Raw genomic sequence first — 17,703 nt, forward strand, 5'->3', positions numbered from 1 at the left:
ACGACTCTGTGGTCACTCACATGACATAGTTTGAAAGGGTCTCAGACAAGTTGCCCACAGCACTCTGGGTGCCCCAAATGCCACCATTTATTCTTTAGTTGGGATGAAGCACTGGGAAGTAATTTACTGGATCCACTTAACAGGGATATTTAGGAGAGGATGAGATCTCCAACTACAAAGAAAATTTCCTAAAATGGGGAAAACACTGGGTGAGGGAATGAAGATCTGTATCACAAATTCAGTTTCCAGAAGCAGATGCTGAATTGGAGTCTGGGGTTCCAGATACTTATTGGAGCGCCACACCTGGGAAGGGAAGAGGGAGGAAGCATGAGCCTCCAGGATTGCAGGCCCCCCAAGAAGGGGCATGAAGCACAAACAATGCAGCCCCACTGCAGCTGAAGGACCCTCAGGAGGAGCTGAGGAGCTGTGAGGCTGGCAGGAGGCCTGCTGACTAGGCTCCCTGCAGTTGGGCAAGGATCCAGTCAAGGAGGCCTCTCTGATACATGGTTAGGCTGGGGACACTCCCAGTAAATGTCTACTCTACGGTTTTAGGGCCAGGCTTTGTACTAAAGAATTAGGCAAGATCCCAAATTTAAAAAAATAATAATAATAAAAAAGAAAAAAAGGCCGTCTTCAGAAAACAAAAAATGGCATGACTAGCTCTCTCATAAAGGATACACCAGTGATTGCAAAAACGCTGTTGTCTTTTCAAATCAGCCTAAACTGGATTTCCAAATTAGCAGCCCCAACTGTGACTGCGCAGTTGCTTGCATTTGTAGTGCTGAAAAGTTGTGTTCACAGATAAGAGAGAACCATCTAACATAAGGCTACCACATTTCCCCCTTCTCCAGATCTGGGAAATGTGGTTGATTTGCATATTTAGCATACATTTGCATTCTGTGTTCAATAGCCCCTAACTCTAATTATGTCAAATAAGATAAATTAGTACATTTCACTGCCATTGCATTCTAGCCCTGTGGTTAGGGGCTAAGGAGACTTAACCCAACTTTTTCCTTCTCCTTCTGGCTTATTCCCTTCTAGGACAGAAGTCATTTGGTGTTCAGGCTGGGGACATTTCAAGGTAAATCCTTAACTACAGAGGAGGGGGAGGGTAAGAAAAAGAAACAACCAATGATATCCAGAAATAGAGTTGTACATTTTCTGTTCTAACAAGTAAATTTAAAATGCCAACTTGATCCAAGTGTAAACAAAAAATGAACCTCGTGGATATTTTAATAAGTTAACAGAAGGCAAACGACTTTTAAACAAAACAAAAAGTATTACAAAATCAAATCCAGTACATCATCTTTCTGCAACATAAAACTTCCTATCATGCTGGGAATAAACAGGTTTGTAGATGGTGAGTGGTTCTAGAACCAGGAAGGAAGATAGCAAGCATCCAGGGGAAGGTCGTCATTGTTCTCCAGTCCGTCATTTGTGTCCCATCCTCTCTTATTGAGATTTATAGGTCATTCTGGAGTCACTGGAATCACTCATTGATATGTTTTGCATATCGTGATAGGGCCTCACAAATCCCCCAACTTCACCCCTTTATCTCACGGGACGTATATTTATGAAGCACTCTCTATGTGTTAGCAAGGTTGAAGGTATCAAGATGAACAAGAACTAGAAACCCAGCTTGCTAGGAAGCCACATGGAAAACTGACTGAGAGAGTGATTACAATATAACAAGTAACATAAGAGAGGTGTGTGAAAAATGTGATGAATGCACAGAAAACCAAATGCTTACATCTGCTTGAGAAGCAGTAGAAATGTAAGATTGCATAGGCCATAAGAGGTTTCCAAGAGGAGAAAATATTTTATCCTGCTTAAATTGGAAGAGTAAAAAACTCTGAAGATCAAGAGGTGGGGAAAAGACTTTCTAGGAAGTGGGAATTATGTGTATAAAAGCACTTGCATTCATGAATTTGAATGCCCAATGAATAAGTCCAAAAATATACAATGTGTTTATGAAAATAAAGAGAAAGATGCTTCAGCTGCGACAGTTGAAAAAGAATTCATGGAGGCAGTGAGGCTTTCCCGCGAACACCAAAATGGTCCGATCTGAGGGGCAAGGTACTCCCGGAAGGAAGAACCTGCACAAACAGATGCATGGCACTGGATCTTATACGCCTCATGCAACACGTGAATCTACTGGATTAACTCAGCCATGAGAAGGCAGCAGTAAAATAGAGACCAAGGTGCCTAAGAAAATACTGTACGCATGCTGGGGGTCATGTATGCCTACTTTAAAAAAAAAAAAGGGGGCTGAAACAATCACATTAAATCATTATTTTAGGTCAGGCACCATTTAGTGATTCTTTATAGAAAACACAGACAGGTGAATTAGGAACACACCCGCAAGAGAGCACAGGATTAATTAGTCCTGCAGACAAGAAGGCTATTGTAGAAGGCTGTTAGAGAGCTGCAAAATTACCATATTCCAGGTGTGAAGAGAGGAACAGCTCAGTGAGGTTGGTTCCAGTGGGAATAAAAATAAAGCACAGGTATTCAAGGCATTTGGAAGACTGTCTTATGAAACATGATTTTATTTAGGTTAGGATGACATACAGGAATACTGTTAGCGTTTTGAGACTGGGTAAATAGGAGAATGAAAAGGACAGGGAAAGCAGGAAGATGAGAGGCGATGGGACAGGGAATAACATTATTATGTGTCAACTGTATTTCTAGTATTTACCTATCAAGTTTATATTTAGCTCATCAATCCTTATAAAAACCCTATAAAATAAAAATTATTCTTCTACACTAAAAAATCACAAATCAGGGAGATTTCGCAAATTGCCCAAGAGCCCAGGGGTAGTGAACTGGAGAGGCAAAACTGAGTCCTGGATCTACTGCACTTCAGTTTCTGTTTAAGCTCTATTCAATATGCCTCACATGTTCCAGTGAGAAACATAATGTGTTTGGACTTAGACACGGTGAGTTTGAGATGATGGTGGAACATTCAAGAAGAAATATCTAGTGAGCAGTCAGACATAATAGGATCATAGATTTATAGAGCTGGAAGGCATCTTAAAAATCATCTAATCGTAGAGCCAAAATTCTAAAATGAGATTATAGCTGGGGTTATCCATTTGGGAAAAATTCACATATTAGAAAATGAATGAAGTCACCATATGAGAGAAAATATGCAGTAGAAGGTTAACGATTGTCCTTTGGGTGTGCCCACCTTTCTGGGGTGGGGAGAAGAAAAGAGATTACTAATAGGACAGGACAGGGGCTTCCTGAAAAGGGGAAGAGACAGTGAGGTGCCTCCCACATCCAGAAGGCAGATTGAGGAGCAGGTATCAAAAATGTTAAATGGCTCCAATAAGTCAGAGAAAATGAGGCAACTGTCTGTGGTGGATAGAAGTGTGTTGGTTGCCGTAGAGAGAACCTGTCAAAGAAATCAGGAAAATAATATAAGGAGACAAATACCAGGGGTCAGAAAGATTGCTTGGGGTTTCTTTATTTGACTAGATCTTAGAAAATAAAACAGGACTCATGAGGAGACATATAAAGTGGGAATTCTGTGAATATATAGCTTGGTTATAGTCTGCTATAGTTTAAAGACAGAACATCACAAGTTACAAAATAGCATAGGCTTTTGGTTTACTGAGATGAAAACTGTTGACAGCTATTATAATTCAGAACAATCTTTATAGCTTTGTGCAAGCTTTCATTAGTGGCTACAATCAAGGGTCTCTGATAGGTGCCACACAAATAATAATAACAGTAAGTTAGGAACATTACCAAATTGGTTTTACTAAAATATATAGGTGGTTATACTCAAAGAAGCTATTTCACAGAACTGAAAAGTGATTGCTCAGATTTGTGACACATCATTTAAAAAACTATGGTTTCCCATAGGAGACCGTTGCCAAAAATAAAAGCCTTAGTTACATAGAGGTGCACCTGATTGAATATCAGTGGAAGGAGAGGAATTAGAGCCGAGTCCAAGCTGTGCAGCTCTCTGGCTGACATTGATCATGTGCAGTGGACAGCATCTACCTGGACCACACGCTGTGCCTTCTCCTCCACTCCCTCTTCCACCATAACAATTAACTTACCAATGAGCCACGAATGCACCCCACCACCAAATGCCAGGTATCTTCATATAAGACATGGCATAAGACCTCTTCTTAAATGGACTGTGTCATTCTCTGCAGAACAGAATGGTGGATGCCACTTGCTAGCAATGTCTAAAATCCGGGGAACTGATAAGCTCTGCATCTCTATGGGCTGCAAAACACAATATGGGTCCTTACTAGAAAGGAGCTAGCATGTTCAAGTGTTCAGTCATCTAAAACCACATCTTGCCAATCACCATTCTCTTTGGGTGACTGAGTTAATTTCTGCCCGTGGTTAAACATGCTGTTTATCCTACTTTAGCTGGAGGTCAAGAGACACAGAAAGAAAACACGATTCATTCCCCAATAATATCACCTACTTCACATGACATCAATTAATTCCCCAATAATATCACCTACTTCACATGACATCATAGTTTATATTATTAATATTTTGTGAATGACACCTTGGACTGAGCTATGCAGAAAATGAAGTTGGTATTTGGGGTAAAAGGGCTTTCTCAAATATTAAAAAAATAATTTTTACTGTCTTTGTGCTACAGTTGAAAATATACAACTTCAGCTGTCACCTGCAATAAAGAATTTTTTTCTCTTTGGAGGTAGCATATAAAATATTCATCATCTTGGAAGCATTAATTTCAAAATAGAGCAAACTCGTGGTAGAAAATCAAACAGTAGGGAAAACAGTAACAAGAAAAATAAATTTCTCTTGGCATGTAACATTTCCCCTCCCTGAGTCCTCATTCCCCCTATCCAGTTAACCACTTCATCGTTTCTCCTGTATCCTTTCAGAAATGTCTTGTGTAGATACATGTCCCACGAGACAGAAACACACACACACAAACACACAATTTCCTTTGCCTTCATTATACAAACACCATTATAATATACATACTTTTCCACTAGCTTTTTTCAATTGTCATGCCTCTTTACCCTCTTTCCATAATAAGTATAGGGCTATCACATTCCTATAAGGGCTACAAAGTATTCCATTGTATGGATTAGCGTAATTTACATAACTAGTCCCATATCAATAAAGCTTTCAAAATTAACTTACTATAAAACTATTTTTGTTATTTGTAAGCATTTATTATTTCTATTTTATTTTTTATTATAAACATTTACTATTCTCTAATTATCAGTCGTTAAATAACAAGCCTCATGAACCTTAGGAACTTGAACAACAACCATGCTACTGTGGGCATGGACTCTGTGGGTGTGGAATTTGGCCTGGGTGGGGGCGGCTTGCCCCTGTTCTATGATGCCTGGGGCCTCAGCTGGGAAGTCTCAAATGACTGGGAATGACAGGGCTTGCAGTGTGCACAATGGCTTCTTCATTCCTTATCTGACACCTTGGCAGCGACCGTGAGAAGGACCAGCTCCAGCTGGGGGCCTCTCCAGCATGTGGTCTCTGGGTAATCCGAGTTTTCAGGCAGGTGGCTCCTCCAGGGCCTGCCCAATCCAGCTAGGCCAAAGCTGCCTGGCCTTTTCTGACCCAGCCTGAGTCAGGCAGAGTCACTTCTGCCACATTCCATTGGTTATGAGCAAGTCATGAGTCCATACCGGGTTCAGGAAAAGGGGGCCCAGACTCCTCCCTGTGCTGGGGGAGTCGTGGCCAGCTGGTAGAAGACCGAAGAGTGTATGAGATGAGATGTCCCTGCAGCATCTTTGGAAATGAAAATTGCCACAACTGTTTTAAAAGCCAGTGCCCCTGCCTCTGTCCTCTGACCTTGAGTGTTTCCTGACTTCTTGCATATACATCCCAGAACGCCATCGTGCCCCGCTCGCAGAATGCCAGTGGCTCACTACAGTGGAAAGAGCACTAGCCCCATGGAGAGCACATTGGATTCAAGCCACTGAGCATCTCAGAGCCCCAGTTTTATCATTAAAAAGAGTAGATTAAACTAAATTAGGTACAAGCCTCTGCTCACTTACAGAATTTTATCATTCTAAGACCCTACCTGTATAGTCATGCACCATATAACAACATTTAAGTTACTGACAGACCACAAATACAATGGTGGTCTCGTAGGACCATAATACCATATTTTTACCTCATCTATGTTTAGATACACAAATACCACTGTATTACAGCTGCCTCCAGCACTCAGTACAGTAACACTAGCCTAGGAGCAGTCGGCTCCACCACGGAGCCTAGGTGTGTGGTAGGCTATGCCATCTAGGTTTGTATAACTACACTCTGTGGTGTTCACACACAACCACACCGCCTAATGAAGCATTTCTCAGAATGTGTCCTGGTGTCAAGCAGCACATGACTGTGTTTCATCTTCCAACTCCTTGTTCTGAAAAGGAGGAACAAGAAATAAAATGGATTGAATGCATACCCAGTTTCCCAAGCTATTTTGCACTCACCCCGAAGATGGGGCCTGACCGAGTACAATGAACAACATCGCACAGCCTGAGTGTGACTCCAGCCCGGCCACCTAGTACAATAGGCACGTTTCTAAACTTAGGAATGAGGATGATGATACCCATTTGGGAGTATCTAAACAAGAAAATAGGGGTACTAAAATTTCATTTTATAGAACGATCACTTTTTGCTTCCTTTTCAGAGCAAGGGATTGAAATATGAGAGAAACAGGTAGGATTGATGTAATCAGAAATGGTTTAAGAGAGTGTCAAAAACATAAGGGATCGGCAGATTCACAGCTCCCTGTCCGCGCTGCGGCACCTCTGCCAGATCTTCTACTACGCTTAGCTTTCTATCTTACTCTGCCTAAGCTGTGCCATGTGAAATATATTTCCTATCCCAGAGAGAATTTCTCTCAGGGATTTATACATAGCATAGGGAAAGTTGAGGCCAGGCCAAGGGCTGGTCTCATGACTGTCTAGATTTTGTTGCTTGTAAGACCAGCATGGAATGTCCTTTTCCATTTACAGTAGGATTTGGGAGAGGCTTGGAGGGGCATGCGGCCTTTGGATGAGAGTGTGGAAGAGAAATTACTGGCAAAGAGTGAAGGGGGAATAAAGAGAAGAGGGGAGGCACAAGGAAAAGCAGGGTGTAGGAGCTGATGTATCTGGATGTAGACAGCCTGGTTTGACGTTCAGTTCCCTTTCTGTCACTAAGATGGCCAAGATCTGGGTGGGACGTCTCACCCCATACCACAAGGCACATGGGCCCAACCAGGGTCCTTTGGGACAGACAGGAATCATTCCAGGCTGCACGGCCTAGAATTTATTATTTAGGTCAGACAGAGTGGAATGGATAACTTCCTCTAGAGATCAGAGGCTGTGCGCTGTCTCTGATGTGTGACAAATTGAAGGAAGCACAGCCATGCCTTCAGCATGCTCGGTGAGGGATGCTCATGGAGAAGGAACGTGAAGGAGCCTGTGCCTGCCTTACTTTCCATTTGTTTCAGTTTCTCCCCCCACGCATCTGCTGTCCTTGCAAAGCAGGAAAAGGGAAAGGAAATGTCATTTCTCTGGAGATGTAACAAAAGGTTATTTGCTTCGGAAAAAGCTCTGTCTTAAATAAATGAAAGTTGTCTGTATTGTTCGTTTGTTTGTTTGGCTTTTTTTTGGCTCTTTCTCAGTCTCCCCATAAATCACTGAAAATCACCTTACCATTCCCTGAATTTGTAGGAATCTCTTGCTGCTGTGTAAAGGCATAAGAATGGGCCAAGGCAAACATCTCTAATGTCTTCTTTCAAAACCAAAATGCATTTTAATAATTTAAAGCCACTGCTCTTTCAGTCACTTGATAAATTATTCACAAATTTTACAACAAAAAAAAAAAAGAAAAAAAAAATCTGTTCCCTTTACAAGTTCTGGAACATTAAATCATGTCAGAATAGATGAAAAGGACAAATCAGCCCTAAACTCTTAGAAATCATGCCATTTACTTCTTTATCTGAGAGCAGTGCCACAGTTTACAGGGCACTTGGCAGATGATTTTTCAGGACTTATGTCCAGGTACAGTGAGAGAATGACACTGTAGGAATGAAAGAAGGTGGCTTTTGGGCAATGTATAGAGAACATCTAACTGTTTGCCTCAGGACTGCAACTTTAAGTGATATTTTAAAGAGATCTCAAGGACAGACAAAGAAAGCTGATTTGCTTAAGGTAACTCTAGTTAATTCTGGGCAAGGGAGGAAGTCGGAATAATGGTGGCTCCTTCTGTTCTTACGTTAAAACACCCCTTACATCCTCCTACCAAGCACGGGCAAGTGCTACAAAGTTGCTTTCTGTTCAAATGTCCATGGGACATAACCTTCTGGAGCTTAGCAAGCAGGTACTTCTGACCTCATGGAGTGGAGAACCTTTGCCTAGAAAAGATTCTAAATTTGCATCCACAATGATAACAATGCCCCACCCACATAGTCATGTTGTAGCTGAAGATCTTGGAATATTTACAAGCATCTCTCATCTCATTAGAAAAACATACTCACTGAAAGGTCCAAGTGATTGATAATGAAGGCCAACTGGGCAGAACTATTAGGTTTTCCTTCCTGATATTTCCTACCAGAGATGTCTCCCTCTTACAGCCAGTGCCCAGGGCCTAATTACAATTAATACATTTTGTCATCAGTATTTTGTCTTCCAACTCCATGGTTTACTTTTGTTCTGGATCTAAGAAAGGTAGCAGCATTGTAGAAGAACTCATTAGGATATCACACTTCAATTAGTACAGGGATGAGGTTTGTCTGAATAAATACAGCCCATTCCATTCTAACACAGTGCTGGCATATAGGAGATGTCAATAAATGCTTGCTTCCCGAATGAAAAAGTGAACAGAAATTGCAGAAATACGTCAAAGTTTAATTTATTGTGTGTGTAACACAAGCATAGACACCGTTCAATATGCACCATTTTAATAGGCAGAAATGGGCTATTAGTATTTTTAATTTGAGAGTGGCAAAACCTAAACTAATTTCATATTTTAGGAAAGAGATTCTGGATGAAGCTTCCATCATCATCCGCAAGGCAACTTTTTATCTTTGTGGGGCCTTTGTAATTTTTTTCTACTTGCTATGCCTTCTTCCTTTTATAACCTAAATTTTTCTTTAATGCTCCTGAGATGCCTATTTTCAGGGAATTCTGATGTCAAGGGTGTTCTTGGAAGCTTCTGAGTGTTGGCTAAAATACCTTCTCTTCCACTTCAAAGAAGTCCTATAATGCTAGAACCATCTTCACTGACAATATCTTTCTTCACCCTCCAAATCTCACTGCTCAGCTTCTGGGGGAGTCAAGTTACAAAAGAGCCAACATATGAAAAATCCATTGTTCTTTAATTTTACTTCAACAAGATAGATGCAGACATCCACATCAGCATTTGGAGACCGGAGAAGTGAAGAAGCAGAAGAGAAAAATCACTGAGTTTCTAGAGTATGCTCTTTATTTAGACATGCAACTTTTACACAGAATAATTTAAGGGAGGTTACAAAGATACATACAAAAGAGCAAGATAAAATAAAGATAAGAAAGAAAAATGGGCCAGGCACGGTGGCTCATGCCTGTAATCCCAGCACTTTGGGAGGCCGAGGCAGGCGGATCACGAGGTCAGGAGATCGAGACCATCCTGGCTAATATGGTGAAACCCTGTCTCTACTAAAAAAAAAAAAAAATACAAAAAAATTAGCCAGGCGTGGTGGTGGGCGCCTGTAGTCCCAGCTACTCAGGAGGCTGAGGCAGAAGAATGGCGTGACCCCGGGAAGCAGAGCTTGCAGTGAGCCGAGATCGAGCCACTGCACTCCAGCTTGGGTGACAGAGCGAGACTCCATCTCAAAAAAAAAAAAAAAAAGAAAAAAAAAGAAAAGAAAAATGACCCTATGATGAGAAATACAAGAAACAAAGTCAGAGCTTGATGAGCTCAGCAAAGCACTAACACTCTTTACATCTCCCCTCTCTATTATGAAGTATGCCAACATCATCTTACCTTGTTTGTGTCCGTCCCACATGGTAGTAGTATGCAATTTACAAGCCACATCCAAAGTTATTTACCTTAAGAGAAATCAGCATATGTAATTTAGAACTTTTTTAAAATTAGGTAAGGTAGTTCTAGGTGATTGTTGGTAACTTTTTTGGAAGTCTATATTACAAAAATTATTTTAGGTAAGTTTCCCAAAAGTGTCTGGCTGTCTTGGTTCAAGTGTCAACTTCACTGATAACTATTTTTACATCTTGGGCACACAGCAATTGTTGCTGTTCCTCTCCTACCAGACCCAAGCTCATCCATCTGGTCAGAAAGATTTTTTGAGACATCATAGCAAAAGTAGCCATTTTCCTCCCTTTTCAACCTTTCTTGCCCAGGACTCCGTATTATTTTTCTTAAAATACTTACCAATATTTAAAACTGAGTTTGTTTATGTGCAAATAAACAAATTAGAATATAAACTGGAATATTTAAAATTCAGTTTGCTTATATGCAAATAAACTAGATATGAACTGGAAGATATAAATATATATTTGGAATATATAAGTGTATATTCCAGTTTATATAAACCAGAATATAAACTAGAATATCAACGCCATGAGAGCAAGGCTTTTATCTCTCTTGTTCTCTCTTAGGCCTCCAGTGTCTAGAACATGGCCTGGCACAGAGCAAGTGCTCATTGAAAGTTTGCTGAATTAATGAACAAATGAATGAATGTATAAATATTTTGGATAATATCTTGTCACCTCTAATTTCATTCAAATATTGTCTTTACCTTATATTAGCTGGGTAAATCAGCTGCATGAAAGAAATTCTCTTAACGTCCAGATTTTTCAATTTCCATGTTCCCTGTAAACATCCTCTCTTCATCCCGCCCATCCTCTCCCACCCACACCCCTGCTGCCGTGAATTGTGTACCCTCCTGTCTGAGGGTTCCCCTATACCTGGGCTCCGTTCCCACCCTTGCTTCTCTCCTCAAGGACCCACTGCATGGATTTCCAGCTCCACTCCCTCTGGCTCTTTTCCAACAGTGTTGAAGAATACTAAGTCGATGCAAAGCTACAATATTAAAGTATGAATACTTAAGGACTTCTCCTCCATCGCTTTTAAAAGACAAGAGCCTTTGTTCCAATGTCATCACCTAGAAAGGTCTGTAACTGTGTTGAGTAGCAATGAGGCTGGAGAGCTGGAGAGGCTGGAAATCACTAAATTTACAGCGGAAAAGGCAGACTTCTCCCCTAGAAAATTAGAATAGATCCTAAAGGCATATCCAGGAGACAGAAGAATCAATAACTCATTCTAACTGGGTTTAGAAGAGAGTGTGGGGTGGTTGAGAAGAAAAGGAGAGCTATTTGGAGTGGGGGACAGAAGAAGGGCTTGTAAAATATGGAAAGAAATATAGAGAAAAAATAATTTTAACTACATCGATGTGCATTACAAAGAGAGAGGCCCTTTCTCGCTTTCAAAAGTAAAGTATTCTTGGCCGGGCATGGTGGCTCACGCCTGTAATCCTAGCATTTTGGGAGGCCGAGGCGGGTGGATCATGAGGTCAGGAGTTTGAGGCTAGCCTGGCCAACATGGCAAAACCCCGTCTCTACTAAAAATACAAAAATTAGCTGGGCCTGGTGGTGGGTGCCTCTAATCCCAGCTACTCGGGAGGCTGAGGCAAGAGAATTGCTTGAACCTGGGAGGCAGAGGGTGCGGTGAGCCAAGATCATGCCGTTGCACTCCAGCCTGGGCGACAAGAGCAAGACTCCATCTCAAAAGTAAAGTATTCTTTCCAATAATATGTGTGACTGTTGTTGCAATACTGCTATTTATTGAGTAGAATATAACAAAGAGCAAGAAGCTAAAAGCAACAAAGCCCAGCTTTATCTGGATTACATTCAGATTTTGGCATCCTTGAAAAGCAAAACAAAACAAAGGCCCTTCCTATAGCTATTTTCATGTACTACTCTCCTTCTCACAACTTCTATTATACAAAGGTTGTCCCCACTCACTGTTTATAATTCCTTCCTTCTCACTCACATTTCACCCCTCTGCCATCAACCTTCTACCCCCATTAACCCTTGTTTTTGAAATCGTCAATCATCTTGACTAACTACAGTGGGTGTTTTAGACCCTTCGTTGTCACAGAACTGAACCATTTGGTGGTTCACTTGGACAGGAGCTATAAAAACTCCAGGCCTATGGTTGCAGTGAGCCAAGATCGTGCCGCTGCACTCCAGCCTGGGGGATAGAGCAAGACTCCGTCTCAAAACAAAACAAAACAAAAAACCTCCAGGCCTAATCTTTCCAGCATGGCTAAGCCATCATCCTCGGGAAATACAGACGCTTGACCATGGCTGTGAGAAGTGCAGTTACCGCCCCTGCCCCACCCCGGTGCAGCCCTATTTGCTGCTGCTGGGCACTCAGCTAGCCCATCACCTGTGCTTTTGTTTGGTTCCCTGGGATCATCAAGCTCTGTGTGTAGTCTCCTTGTAGTTAGTTCCTCCATCTAGTCTAGAGGTGAGAAAAAAGTCTGTTCCACAACACCTTCCCTGGGAAGGGTGCAATTCGGAGACCATCAGGAGCTCTCTGAGAAAGAAGCCACTAATGTCTTTCTAATATCAAACTCTCTCTTTGCCAGCCTCTTATGAAGGCTAAAGGTGAGGAGATAGCAATATCGCAAAATCTGTTTTAGCAACTCTTTGCAAGTATTGCCAGTGGTCTGGCACCTTGCTTTGCAATATGGTAATAGCTCCCATTGTTTTGAAGCTTCAGTCAAAATATAGAAAGAATTTCATATTAAACCACAGTTTCCAAAGATGGTGGGCTGTATCTCGTCTCCTGGCTTCCAATAAGCAAGGTGGAGTTATAGGCTGTCTTTACACACTCTTATCAAAGTGCTGCATACTTGTTTCTTGGTCTGGTTGTCTACATTAAATTGAAAACTTCTAGAAGCTAAAGATGCGTCTTTACATCACACACACACACAAGCACATGCCACACCACAATTTACTCCACTACTCTTGTTCCTTCCATCATGCTTCTAGTCTTTTCTTCTCTAAATAACCAGATTTCTTGTAAGAATTATAATGTTTGCCTCTACTTTTCTACCTCCCATTCAGTCCTCAGTCTACTCATTTAAGTCTGGTCTCATCCTTGCCTGAAATACTTTTCATTAATGTCATCAATCATCTTGTTACACTAGGTCTTTTATCAGTCATTATACCTGACTTACAAGCAAGCACTTGGTTCTTTGGACTATTTCCTCCTTCTTGAAATAGTATTCTTGAGCTTCTTATATTTAAAAACAACCTTGCTCTCCAGCTAACTTTCTGGCTGATTCTTATGTTTCATTCATCCAAGCTAAAGCTACTAAGTATTAAAGATCTCCAAGACTCTGTCTAAGGCACTGTCTTCTTAATTTCTTCTTTATCCTCCATAGAGCTAATCCACACCCATGACTTCAGGGGCCCACACCACTTAAGAGCCTAGAGCTCTTCTGAGCAGCAGAACTTGTGATGGTTAATTTTACGTATCCACCTACTGGATTAAGGAGTACCTACAGAACTGGAAAGCATTATAGTGGGATGTGTCTGTAAGGGAGTTTCCAGAGGAGATTGGCATGTGAGTCTGAGTAGACCAAGTGGAGAAGATCCACCCTCAGTGTGCTTGGCACCATCTCATAGGCTGGGGGCCCAGACAGAACAAAACAGGCAAGGCAAATAGGTTTCTTTCCTGGAGCTTGGATACACTCTTATCCTGCCCTTGGTCAGCAGAACTCCAGGCTCGCTGGCCTTTGGACTCTAGGACTTACACCAGCAACCCCCACTCCTACCCCAGGTTTTCAGGCCCTGGAACTTGGCCTGAACAACACTACTGGCATTCCAGGATCCCCAGCATGTAGATGGCTGTCACAGGACTTCTCAGCCTCAGTAATCAGGTGAGTCAATTCCCCTAATAAATCCCCTCACATATATCTATATATCTATAAATAGCTTGTTGGTTCTGTCTTTCTGAAGAACACTGACTAGTGCAGATTTTAGTACCAACAGTGGTTCTAGAGGTTTTCATAATTGGTTTGGGGTTTCTAGAATTGGCTATCTAATCTGGTTAAATCTAAAAATGCCAAAGACTCTACTTCTAACAGCACAGAGAGCACTGAACTCTCTAGTGCAAACTGCTCATAGAGATACATAAAATAGGTACATTTGGTACTTTTAATTCACCACTTATAAGAGACAAGAAACTTGGTGACTTCTATATATGATACCCTTAACATTTGTGCAGAACCAACGAATATAATGACTTTGGTTGGTTGCTCCTAATGTCAGTGGACAAAGGGATGAAGGAAAAGAATGAGTTCAGGTATTCCATTTCCTGCCCCAGCTCTACATAAATAGCTGAAGAGCTTCTAAGTGTGCCCTGAGTCTGAATCTCCTCCCATGTAGCCACAGGTCTGGGATTGCTGAAAATCAAACAAGAGCGCTTATCATATGACTGACTGAATCACAGCAAAAGCTGAACTCTCAGCTCCGCAGGCGTCTGTGGTTAAAGTGAGGCCATTGGTTGAGACAGAATGGGATCTGTAAGTTGAGATGGGGATGTGTGGGAGGGCTCTGATGAGGCTGGAGACACTGAGCTATGAAATTCTGATGAGTGTTATTTGCTAGCAGAAGTGGTTCCCACCCACAATAGTATAGGGTTTTCCATCTCTGTCTGAAGGAGTTAACCCTGCATTGTCTAAGAAAATGGTAACAGCCTCCATGAGGCAGTTGCCAAGCAAGACAATGCTGAGTCTCCTCAGAATCCACCCCCCCTGCCCCTCTTTGCTTCTGGACCTGTAACTAGACTTGAGTCCCAGCAGGCCCCTAGAGGTGAGGTTCAAAGTGTGATTCAGGAGGAGGTGTGCCATGTTCCAAAAGAACTACTTCAGTTTTCTAATTTATACAAGCAGAAGTCTGGGGAATGCTTGTGGGAATGCATACTGAGAGTGTGGGAATATGGTGGAAGAAATATAAAGTTGGATCAGGCCAAATTTACTTATATGGACCCTCAGAGCCGAGGTCCTCAATTTAACTTTGCAGCTCAGGGAGTGAGTTTGTTTGATTGAGTGGTAAAACATGGATCAAAAAACATGAGCCACTGTGAGTGAGCTGGAGATGCCTGATCTCCCTTGGGCTAACACAGAGGAAGGGATTCAAAGGCTTAGGGAGATTGGAAAGCTACAGTGGATTTGTCACTTAAACCCTACTCGGACACACCAGGAGGGTCCAGAAGACAGACTTTTCATCAATACTTTGAACAATGGATTTGTGAGGGGAGCCCCAGCACCCCTGAAGAGCTCTGTGATTGCTCTTCTCTGTAGACCAGACCTTACAATGGGAGCTGCTGTTATTCAGTTGGAAAACTTAAATGCAATGGGAGTAATTGGATCCCAAGGTGATAGGGACCAAGTGACGGCACTCAACCGTCAAAGACAAGTTGAATGCAGTTTTCAAAATGGTACCTGGTATGCACCTACTAAACTGGCAAATACCTTTTTCTCCATTTGTGTTCATAAGGCCCACCTGAGGCACTCTGCCTTCAGCTGGCAAGGCCAGCAATACACCCTCACTGTCTTACATCAGAGATATATCAACTCGCCAGCTTTATGTCACAATCCAGTTTGCGGGAATCTTCACTGCCTTTCCCTTCCATAAGATTTCATACTGTTCTATTGATAACCTTATGCTGATCAGACCTCATGACCAAGAAGTAGAAACTACTGTGGACTTATGGGTAAGGCGTTTGCATATCAGAGCACGGGAGATAATCCAATTAAAATTCAAGTGCCTTTTACCTTGGTGAAATTTCTAAGAGTCCAATGGTGTGGGGCATGTCAAGATATTCCTTCTAAGATGAAGGATATGTTGTGTATCTGGCTCGTCCTACAACCAAGAAAGAGATACCATGCCTAGTGGGCCTATTTGAATTTTGCAGGCAACACATTCCTCACTTGGGTGTCTTACTCTGGCCCATTTGTTGAGGGTCCCAAAAGATTGCTAGTTTTGAGTGGAGTCCAGAACAGAAGGCTCTACAGCAAGTCCCAGCTGCCATGCAAGCTGCTCTTCCTCTTGGGCCATATGACCCAGCAGATCCAATGATATCCAAGATGTCAGTGGCAGATAGCGATGCTGTTTGGAGCTTTTGGCAGGGTGCTGTAGAAGAATCACAGCAGAAGTTCTTAGGATTTTGGAGCAAGGCTCTGCCATCATCTGTAGATAACTACTCTTTTGAGAGAGCTCTTGGCCAGCTACTGGGCCTTAATAGAAACTGAACGCTTGACCATGGGCCACCAATTACCAGGTGACCGGAGCTGCCCATCATGAACTGGGTGTCATCTGACCTACCAAGCCAGGAAGGGCATGCACAGCAGCAGTCCCTCATCAAATAATGGACCAGCACAGGCCCTGGAGGTACAAAGAAGTTACATGAAGAAATGCCCCAAATGTCCTTGGTGTCTACTCCTATCACACTGCCTTCTCTCCCACCACCTGCACCTATGGCCTTATGGGGAGTCCTCATGATCAGCCGACAGAGGAAGAGAAAAATCGGGCTTTGTGGACAAATGGTTCTGTATGATACAGAGGCACCAGCTAAAAGTGGACAGCTGCAGCACCTCAGCCCCTTTCTGGAAGATCCTTTAATGACAGTGGTAAAGGAAAATCTCAAGCGGCAGAATTTGGGGCAGTGCACCTGGTTGTGCACTTTGCTTAGAGGAAAAATGGCCAGATGTGTGATTAGGTACTGATTCACAGGCTGGATGGTCAGGGACTTGAAAGGAACATGATTAGAAAATTGGTGGCAAAAACATTGAGAGAATAGATATGTGGATAGATCTCTCTGAGTCGGCAAAGGATGTGAAGTTATTTGTTTCTCATGTAAATGCTCACCCAAAGATGAGCTCCACAGAGGAGTATGTTAATATTCAGGAGGGTAGGATGACCCATTCTGTGAATACCAGTCAATCTCTTTTCCCAGTCATCCCTGTCATTGCCCAGTGGGCTCAGGAACAAAGTGGCTATGGTGGTAGGGATGGAGGTTGTGCACGGGTTCAGCAGCATGGCTTCTACTCACCAAGGCTAAGCTAGCTACAACCACCACTGAGTGCTCAGTTGGCCTGTTGCAGAGACCAACGCTGAAACCCTGACATGACATCATTCCCCAGGGCAATCAGCCAGCTACGTGGTGGCAAGTTGATTACATTGGATGGCTTCCATCATGGAAGAGGCAGCATTTTGTCCTTTCTGGAATAGACATTTCCTCTGGACATGGGTTTGCCTTCCCTCCATGCAATGCTTCTGCCAATACTACCATCTGTGGACTCACAAAATGCCTTATCCACGCTCATGGTATTTCACACAGTGTATCTACTAAGGAACTCACCTGACAGCCAAAGAAGTACAGCACTGGGCCCAAGTTCATGGGATCCACTAATCTTACCATGCGTCCCACCATTCTGAAGCAACAAGCTTGACAGAACAATAAAATGGCCTTTTGAAGTTGCAGTTACAGCACCAGCTAACGTTGCAGGACTGGGGCAAGGTTTTCCAGAAGGCTGTATGTGCTCTGAATCAGCATCCAATATATGATCCTGTTTTTCCCATAGTCAGGATACATGGAGTCAGGAATCACAGAGTGGGAGTGTCACCACTCACCAATACCCCTAGTGACCCACTAGCAAAGGTTTTG

At 42.4% G+C, this 17,703-nt stretch overlaps 1 protein-coding gene across 8 annotated transcripts in view, besides 1 other annotated feature; it reads right to left on the reverse strand.

Annotated features, from left to right (window-relative positions):
- The window catches only part of OPCML (opioid binding protein/cell adhesion molecule like), a 1,117,521-nt gene that overhangs the window by 466,041 nt on the left and 633,777 nt on the right, over positions 1 to 17,703 (reverse strand). The window lies entirely within an intron of this gene.
- Positions 5,044 to 5,550: an enhancer, noted in NCBI's record as "H3K4me1 hESC enhancer chr11:132755960-132756466 (GRCh37/hg19 assembly coordinates)". NCBI's record gives its function as "activates a minimal SCP1, AML or CMV promoter by ChIP-STARR-seq in primed H9 embryonic stem cells {active_cell/tissue: H9 hESC(primed)}" and the evidence as "EXISTENCE:reporter gene assay evidence [ECO:0000049][PMID:30033119]".

Source organism: Homo sapiens, chromosome 11 (genome assembly GCF_000001405.40).
Source record: "Homo sapiens chromosome 11, GRCh38.p14 Primary Assembly".
NCBI classification, from domain to species: domain Eukaryota; kingdom Metazoa; phylum Chordata; class Mammalia; order Primates; family Hominidae; genus Homo; species Homo sapiens.